A 9,606-nucleotide genomic window follows, 5' to 3' on the forward strand; every position below is an offset into this window, starting at 1 on the left:
TGGGCAAGTTCTGAGATGCTGCTCTGGAAGTCGTTCCTAGAGGACAGCCTAGATCCTGCTCCTCCAGCCCTCATAACAATTTTGTTTGATCTAATTTTTCTTTTCTTTTTTTGAGATGGAGTCCCACTCTGTCACCCTGGCTGGAGAGCAGTGGTGTAAACTCAGCTCACTGCAGTCTCTGCCTCCCAGGTTCAAGTGACTTTCCTACCTCAGCCTCTTGAGTAGCTGGGATTATAGGCACCCGCCACCATGCCCAGCTAATTTTTGTATTTTTAGTAGAGACAGGGATTTCACCATGTTGGCCAGGCTGGTCTCGAATTCCTGACCTTCAGTGATCTGCCCGTCTTGGTCTCCCAAAGCTCTGGGATTACAGGAGTGAGCCCCCATGCCCAGCCTGAACTGAATTCTTTCTATTAAATTCTTTTTTGCCTTACGTAGTGGGAGAGATTTTGCAGCTGAATCCCAGATGATACAATGGGGCACAGAGAAGTTATGCCACTTGTCCTAATAAAAGTTAAGTGTTTGATATTGCTGGTACTTAAAAAACATCCCTACAGATATTAATTTCATTTCCTGTGGATTTTCCACTTTATTTTACTTCTTTGAGCCCCTGTTTCCTCATCTGTCAAATAGAAATAATAATATTTATCTTGCAGGAGATGTGAGAATTGAACAAGGTCATAGATAATAAATTATTAGAGTCATGTAGATAATCCACAAATGGCACCTATTAATAATAAAAACTGGCTTTATAAGAAAGTCTATCAGTTAGGATGTGCTGGTTTTTTTTTGTTGTTGTTGTTGTTTTTTGAGACGGAGTTTTGCTCTTGTTGCCCAGGTTGTAGTGCAGTGGTGCGATCTCAGGTCACTGCAACCTCTGCCTCCCAGGTTCAAGAGATTCTTCTGCCTCAGCCTCCTGAGTAGCTGGGATTACAGGCATGTGCCACCACACCCGGCTATTTTTTTTTTTTAGTGGAGACGGGGTTTCTCCATGTTGGCCAGGCTGATCTTGAACTCCCGACCTCAGGTGATCCACCCACCTCAGCGTCCCAAAGTGCTGGGATGACAGGCGTGAAGCACTGTGCCTGGCCCATTTCAATATCTTAAAACAGAAAAGGTTTATTTCTCGTTCACGCTCATTGATACGTCTAGAGTTGGCAAGGGGTGTTCTGCTCCTCTTGGTTACTCAGGGGTCCAGGCTAATGGAGCAGCCGCCGTCTCATATGCACACTCATGAAAGAAGACAGCATTGGAGGGTCTTCAGTGAGCAATACAATCCTTGGCTTGCAGCAATATGGGGTACGTGCACTCACAATTCATTCTCCAAAACTAGTCACAAGGTCCCACCCAATCACAGGGGAACCAGGAAATGTAGTGCTGTCATGGGATAAGCTGGACAAAATATTTGGTGACCACATAGAGAGTGGAAGTGGAGTGACAACAAGACAGGAAGCTGTGCAGTGCTTCCAACATTTCTAAACTTCAGAACTTGTTCCATCTCCTATTAGGAACTGCAAGACTGCAATTGGATGGTTGGAAAGAAATTAAAGGGCATTTTCAGACAGCTGGAAGGAAGTCTGGAATTAGGAATCCTTCCAACACTTCGGTTTCTCTTGCTTTGCTACATCCCATTCCCCTCCCAGAATCCGGAGTGCTCCATGTGAACATGAATCAGATCACATTATCTTCCCACTTAAAATCGTCAAATGATGCTAAAAAGAAAACCCAAGCTTCTCACGATAGTGCTTCATGACTGTATTAGTTATTGATGGCTGCACAACAAATATTTCCCCAAATATAGGGACTTAAGAGAACAATAAACCTTTATTATCTCATGCAGTTTCTTTATTCTGTTTTTTTTTCCTTCTTTTTGAGACAGGGTCTTGCTCTGTTGCCCAGGCTGTAGTGCGGTGGTGTGATCATAGCTCACTGCAGCCTCGATCTCCTGGGCTCAAGAGCTCCTTCTGTTTCAGTCGCCCAAGTAGTTGAAACTTCAGGCATGTGTCACCCCACCTGGCTAGTTTTTTAAATGTTTTGTAGAGACAGTGTCTTGCTATGTTGTCCAAGCTTGTCTTGAACTCCTAGCCTCAAGTGATCCTCCTCCTTCAGCCTCCTAAAGTTCTGGGATTACAGATGTGAGCCACTGTGCTCGGACTAATGCAGCTTTTCTTGGTCGGGCATTTGGGAGTGACTCAACTGGGTGTCCTGGCTTATGGTCTTTCAGAGGTTGCCATTATGACACAGGTTGGGATTGCAGTCGTCCGAAGGCTTTGTTGGGCTAAAGGATCCAAGATGCACTCACATGGCTAGAAGGTTGATGCTGGCTATTGGTAGGAGGCCTCAGTTCCTTATAACACGGACCTTCCCATGAGACTGCTGAACTGTCCTCATGATACGGTGGTTGGCTTTGTCCAGAGTGAGTTGTCTGAGAAAGAGAGGGCAAGGCAGAAGCTGCAATGTTCTTCTATAACCCAGTCTTAGAACCCACACCCTGTCACTTCCCCCAGGTCCCCTAGGTCAGCCATATTTATTGTTTACACAAGGGTGTAAATTCCAGGAGGCAGAGATCATGGGGGCATCCAGGAGGCTAGCAGGCAGTGACTTAGTGCTCTGATTTTATCTTCTGTTGATTCACTAAGCACTCCTCACATTGAACTTCTATCTGTTTGAAACATGCTAAGCTGAGCCAAACCGAAGGCTTTTGCTTGCTCTTCCCTCCACATGAGATTCTGTTTCTCCAATCTGCTTCATCATCACATTTGGGTTTTGGCTCAACTGTTGTTTTCTTAGAGAGGCTTTCCCTGACCACCCTGTCCAATATTGCTCTTCCCTGCAGTCCCCACTCCAGGCCAATTGCTAGCACATCATTCTATTTATTTCCTTCACTCTTTGAAATCACTTTATTTATTTATTTATTTAGAGACAGGGCCTCGTTCTGTTGCCCAGGCTGGAGTGCAGTGGCGTGATCTTGGCTCACTGCAGCCCTGACCTTCTGGGCTCAAGCCATTCTCCTGCCTCAGCTTCCTGAGTAGCTGGTACTACAGGTGCATGCCACCATGCCTGCCTACTTTTTTCATTTTTTGCAGAGATGGGGGGGGGTCTCACTATGCTGCCTAGGCTTGTCTTGAACTCCTGCACACAAGTGATCCTCCTGCCTTGGCCTCCCAAAATGCCTGGATTACAAGCATGAGCCACTGCACTCAGCTGTAGTCTGAAATCGCTGTAATTACTGATTAGTTTATTAGGCCTCCGTCTCCTCTCTTAAGACTTCGGCTCCCTGAGAGTGGGCTGGGCCCATTATGCTCATCCCAGCATCTCCAGCACCTGGTATAGCTCCTCGTCCATAGCAAGTGAACCATACCTATGTGCCTAGTAAAAGAACAGCCTCCAGCCTCCCACCTCCCATAGGGAAAGTTCCAGATCCCTCAAATTTTCTCATGCCCTCCTGCTATCCTGAACCTGATCTGAAATCGGACCCTGGGTTTGTCCTAAGCTCCCTGCTCCTGTATGATCATTATTCACAGTGCAACCCATGAGTCTGCAAAGCCCTACAATCTTCCTTAAGAGGAGAGGGTGAGAAAAACCTGGTTGGCAGGCTGAGAGGCTGCCTTGCTGCAGGCTTGGCTGGACCCACAGCCAGAGCTCACCCTCCCAGCCCAGAAGCCTTTCTGGTTCAGTTGGTGATTATCTGAATAAGGCACTTTTAACTGCACAATCTAAGGGCTTCTTGGCAGGTGACCCATTAATGCTGGCCTAAATGGGAGTCACCTAGAGGGAGGGATGCCCTGGGGACCACTCTGAAAGCTTTAGCAGAATGCGTGGTTTTCTCAGTCGCTGTGGCTTCCCCAGGCATTTAAATGGGCGGCAGACAAGATTGCTCACATAGCATCTCCAGCCTCTGGTCTCAGAGGCTGCAGGTGACTGAGAGGGGCCATTCAAGCAGATCAACCATCTGCCTGCTAAGCTTCGTTTCATCTTTTCTCCATCTTTCCTTCCTTCCTCCCTCCCTCTCTCCCTTCCTCTTTCCCTCCTTCCCTCCCTTTGTCCCTCCCTTCCTGCCTTACCTATTTAGGGAAGTTGCAAAGGTTTATGAATTCCCCAGCCATCAACCTCTCATCTCTGACTATTGGCTTCATCTACTCCATTCCTTTCTCCTGTATCTTGCCTGCCTCTAACATCTGAAATATTGAGGTGACCTACTTTCACTGTATAAGTAGAGGCACCGGAGCTGTGGGCTAGAGGTATGAGAGAAACGGGCAGAGGCATCCGGCTGGTGAGAATCGTGAGACCCCTCTGACTATCTGGCTGGACTACTGGTGGCTTCTTGCATGTCTAGATTTTCAAAACCTGGCACCTTGGACAGCATTTGTGCACCTGGAGTTTTTGATGTGGGGCATTTTGTCGCAGCTCTTTTAGTACATTTCTATAGCCAGAGTGCCACGTGGGGTCCAGCATTTGCTGAGTGTTACCGGACACCGTGCTAGGTGATGTGATCCCATTAGTAATACTTGTGAGCACTTTATAAAGCAAGCATTTGGCACATGCCATCTCATTTCATCCTCTCCCAAACCTTGTAAGATGGGGGTGATTTGTCCCTAGTTTTCAGATGAGGGAACTGATGTGTAGAGAGGTTACGCTGCTCAGGAAATTCTAAAACCTTCATGTTGTGTATAGATTCTCTTTTTTTTTTTTTTTTGTTTGAGATGGAATCTCACTCTTGTCGCCCAGGTTGGATTGCAATAGCTCAGTCTTGGCTCACTGCAGCCTCTGCCTCCCGGGTTCAAGTGATTCTCCTGCCTCAGCCTCCCGAGTAGCTGGGATTACAGGCGCCCACCACCACACCCAGCTAATTTTTGTATTATTATTATTATTATTATTATTATTATTATTATTATTTTAGTAGAGACAGGGTTTTACCATGTTGGCTGGGCTATTCTTGATCTCCTGACCTCAGGTGATCTGCCCACCTCAGCTTCCTCAAGTTCTGGGATTACAGGCGTGAGCCACCACGCCCAGCCTGGATTCTCAAATTTGATTCTTACCACAACTCTGTGAGATGAAAATTATCATCCTCATTTTATATGCGAAAGCCCCAAGGCTTGAGGGTGAAGATCACACAGCCATCAAGTGGGGACTCTACTATTCATCAGCAGTCCCCTGTGCACGTGAAACTAGGTTGTCATGTGCAAGTGATTCGCCATCATTTGCAAAATTTGAAAGTTCAGTTGTTAGGAGAATCACTTACTCATTCCACAAGTATTTCTTGTGTGCCAATTAGGTATTAGGATCAACAGTGATGTGGTAGATTGCACACATGGACACAGACTGTTCCCTTCTCTTTAACCACACCCCTGTGTAAAGTGGCTTTGCATCTTCTCCCATCAAGAGGTAGAGTCTGTGTCCCCACCTCTTAATTCTGGACTGGCCTTGTGCCAAGCTTTGAACACTAGAATGTGACAAAAGTGACAGTGTGCCAGTCTAGACCTCTAGCTGTTTCTGCTCTCTCTTGAAACCCTATGAGCTCCATGTGAACAATCCTTATCTGATCAGCCAAGCGCCAAGAGACAAATGTCCCAGTCACACATGCTATCTTAGTCAGCATTCAGCCAACTCCTAGAAACAGCTGTGGGGTGGACTGGCAGCTGACCACAGATGCATGAGTGAGCCCAGCCAAGACCAGAAGAACAGCCCAGCTGAGCACAGCCCACGTTGCCAGACCACATGGTCAGGAGCTGAATCGGTGATTCTCAAAATGTATTCCCTAGTCTAGTAACAGCAGACTCACCAGGGAACCTATCAGAAAGGCACATTTTCAAGCTCACTTTAGCACTACAGAATCATACACTCCAGGAGTGGGCCCAAGTGATTGACTGATGGATTTTGAGATGGAGTCTTGCTCTTTCGCTCAGGCTGGAGAGCAGTGGCACAATCTTGGCTTACTGCAACCTCCTCCTCCTGGGTTCAACCGATTCTCCCACCTCAGCATCCTGAGCAGCTGGGATTACAGGCGCCCACCACCATGCCCAGCTAATTTGTATTTTTAGTAGAGATGGGGTTTCACCATGTTGGTCAGGCTGGTCTCAAACTCCTGAGCTCAGGTGATCCACCTGCCTCGGCCTCTCAAAGTGCTGGGATTACAGGCGTTAGCCGCCATGCCTGGCCTGGTTCCACATTTTTGCACTTGAGAATTGTGCAGCTGTAAACATGTGTGTGTAAGTATTTGTTTTGTAAAATGACTCATTTTCCTCTGGGTAGATACCCAGTAGTGGGATTGCCAGATCAAATGACAGTTCTACTTTTAGTTCTTTAAGGAATCTCCACACTGTTTTCCATAGGGGTTGCACTACTTTACATACTGTGGGTTCTATTTTTATGTCCATTTTACAGATGTGGAAACTAAGGCCTAAAGAAGATAAGATCTTTGCTTGAGGTCACTTAACCAGCCAGGATTTTGACTAAGGTGTCTGGTAGGCTCTCAAGTTTATGCTTTTACATGTTGTAGGATCCAAACTCCTAGTGTGAGACAGAAAATGTGTGGTGGACACCCAGAGTGGCCAGAATGGGAGCGTTACAGTTCCACGAGTCAAAAGAGGTTGTATGGGAGAGAGAGTCCCACAGTTGACTGAGTGGGCCAGGCAAGATTGGAACAGGTAGAGAGAGAAGAGAAAAATGAATTTCAGATGGAGAAAGCCGCTTGAGCAAAGATGAGTGAACCCGCAAACCTTACTAAAAGCAAGTGTTTTTATTGGCAGAAGTGAGTGTTCCGGGGTAAGACGGTAGCAGAATTTTAAATTCAGAGCATCATAAAGATTCAGCATTAATGAGTTTGTTGGAAGATGAGGTGTGGAAAGTTTCCTTGAAATATTAAATTAGTAACCCCAGCAAATGTTTTTTGACTTTTGAGTAGTGTGGTCTCTAAATTGACTTCCCTCCACCATTGGACTATAAATGGTTTGAAGATGTTAGACTTGAAAGGGTAGGGAGAATATTTTGCTGTTGCTATAGTTTATTGTCTCAACTAAACTTTTTCTTTCCACATTTTTTCCCTAAAGTGTATTCAGAAGGTGACATACCTCTCTTTCTAATGTCTTCTTTTTCTATATCACTAATAAAAAGAGGGAATACTTCGGTGAGCATCTGTTATGTGCTCAGCATCTGCCATGTTCACCACAAGTTAAGACTCTGCCCCTACTATCAAGAAACCTAGCAATCTAACTGGACACGAACCCATCTAGCATGCAAGCCAAAGACCATTAACAATCAGAGAAGAGAAAAGTCAGTGTAGGCTGGAGAAACCAGGAAGATCTTCAAGGGAAACTCAGTCCTGACATGGGAGGAAAACATTTCAGTTTCTTTTCTGCTTCTTCTCCTTCCTTCCTCCTTCTTCCTCCTCCCTTCTTCCTCCTTTCCTCCTCCTCCCCCTCCTCCCCCCTCCTCCTTCTTCTTCCTCTTCTTCTTCTTTTTCTTCTTCTTCTTCTTTTCTTCTTCTCCTCCTTCTCCTTCTTTTTTCTTCCTCTTTCTCTTCCTCCTCCTCTCTCTCTCTTTTTTTTTAAACCAGTGAACAGAAACATTTCAGTTTCATATTGACATTCAGTACATTAGGACCAGCTTTAGTACCACCTAGAATATATTCTTGTCCAATTTAGGAAAATAAGAGATGATCCTTTGCCTAAAAACTTCTTGGCAGATTTTCAATCTGAAATGGCAAATGTGCTTTACCTCTAGGATCAGTAGTGCTTGGAGTGCTATCTTGAATTTTGAGAATTTGGAGGGTCTCCAGCTTCAGAGGAAATGAATACTGGAAGCAATGGATGATGATGTCTGCTATGGTATGGGAGGTATGGGAGGAGTGGGGGAGAATATCCTATGTATATGACTTCCCTCTCCCATACTTTTCTCTGCAAATTGTTATAAAATCTCTATTTTCGTGTACCCAAGTAGCTAAAATCTTTAACTAATTGTACTTCATGCCCTGCTTTTGACTTTATTTTATTTTATGTTATTATTTATTTATTTTGAGATGGAGTCTCACTCTGTTGCCCAGGTGGGAGTGCAGTGGCACATTCTAGGCTCACTGCAACCTCCGCCTCCTGAGTTCAACTGATCCTCCTGCCTCAGCCTCCGAGATAGTACGGATGCCCACCACCATGCCTGGCTAAGCTTTTTATGTTTTTAGTAGAGACAAAGTTTCACCACGTTGGCCAGGCTGGTTTTGAACTCCTGACTGCAAGTGATCCACCCACTTCGGCCTCCCAAAGTGCTGGGACTACAGGTGTGAGCACTGCACCTGGCCCTTGCTTTTGACTTTTAAGACAGAGGCACACAAAAACAAAATTAAACATATCAAATATATGAAAAGGGAATGACCTGGTACATTTCTGTTCAGCTAGTTAAATTGTAACCTAATATTCTATACTTTATTTGGAGTACTACAAGTTGTTTCCTTTATATCCTGAAAGATGACAGTGAGTTACAGAAAATACTAAATGATTAATGATAAACTATATATTCATATAAATACCAAGCTGTATTCTGTTGAAAATGTATGTTATCAGCCAATGGTCTATCTGAATTAAGAAGGAAATAGTCATTTGAGGATATAGTGACTTACCTGAGTGATATTAGGAGGTTCTAAAATGCTTGATTCTAATCAACTTTAGATAGCAACTCTAGGTTTCAGAGGACAGAGATTAGGAGAAGAAGTGGGCCACATGGAGAGCAATTTTTCTTTTCTTTTCTTTTCTTTTCTTTTTTTTTTTTTTGAGATGGATTCTCACTCTGTCTCCCAGGCTGGAGTGCAGTGGCGCAATCTTGGCTCACTGCAACCTCCACCTCTTGGGTTCAAGCGATTCTCCTGCCTCAGCCTCCTGAGTAGCTGGGATTACAGGCACCCGCCACCAAGCCCAGCTAATTTTTTGTATTTTTAGTAGAGACGGGCTTTCACCATGTTAGCCAGAATGGTCTCGATCTCCTAACCTCGTGATCCACCCGCCTAGGCCTCCCAAAGTGCTGGGATTACAGGCGTGAGCCACCGCACCCGGCCAAAGGAGATAGTTTTTGAGATGACCCTTGAAGGATGGATGGGAGTTTATGCGGAAAACAAGATTTGGGAAGAGGCAGAGAGCACAGCAAGGTAGAAGGCATGGGGTATGAAGAACTGTGGGGCCAGGTGCAGTGGCTCACGCCTGTAATCACAGCACTTTGGGAGCCTGAGGTGGGCGGATCATGAGGTCAAGAGATTGAGCCCATACTGGCCAACATGGTGAAACCTGTCTCTACTAAAAATACCTAAATTAGCTGGGCATGGTGGCCCTTGCCTGTAGTCCCAGCTACTCAGGAGGCCGAGGCAGGAGAATCGCTTTAACCCTAGAGGCGGAGGTTGCGGTGAGCTGAGCTGAGATTGCGCCACTGCACTCCAGCCTGGCAACAGAGCAAGACTCCGACTCAAAAAAAAAAAATAAATAAAATAAAATAAAATAAAGAAAGAAAAAAGAAAAACCATGGAGTATAGCGGGGACTCTAAGCCCTTTGGTATTGCCAAAAAAAAGGTGAAGTGTAGGGCTGTGTGCTGTGTGTGGCTGGCAAGCAGACTGGGGAGATGACAGA

This window comes from Homo sapiens, chromosome 16 (assembly GCF_000001405.40).
Source record: "Homo sapiens chromosome 16, GRCh38.p14 Primary Assembly".
NCBI lineage: Eukaryota > Metazoa > Chordata > Mammalia > Primates > Hominidae > Homo > Homo sapiens.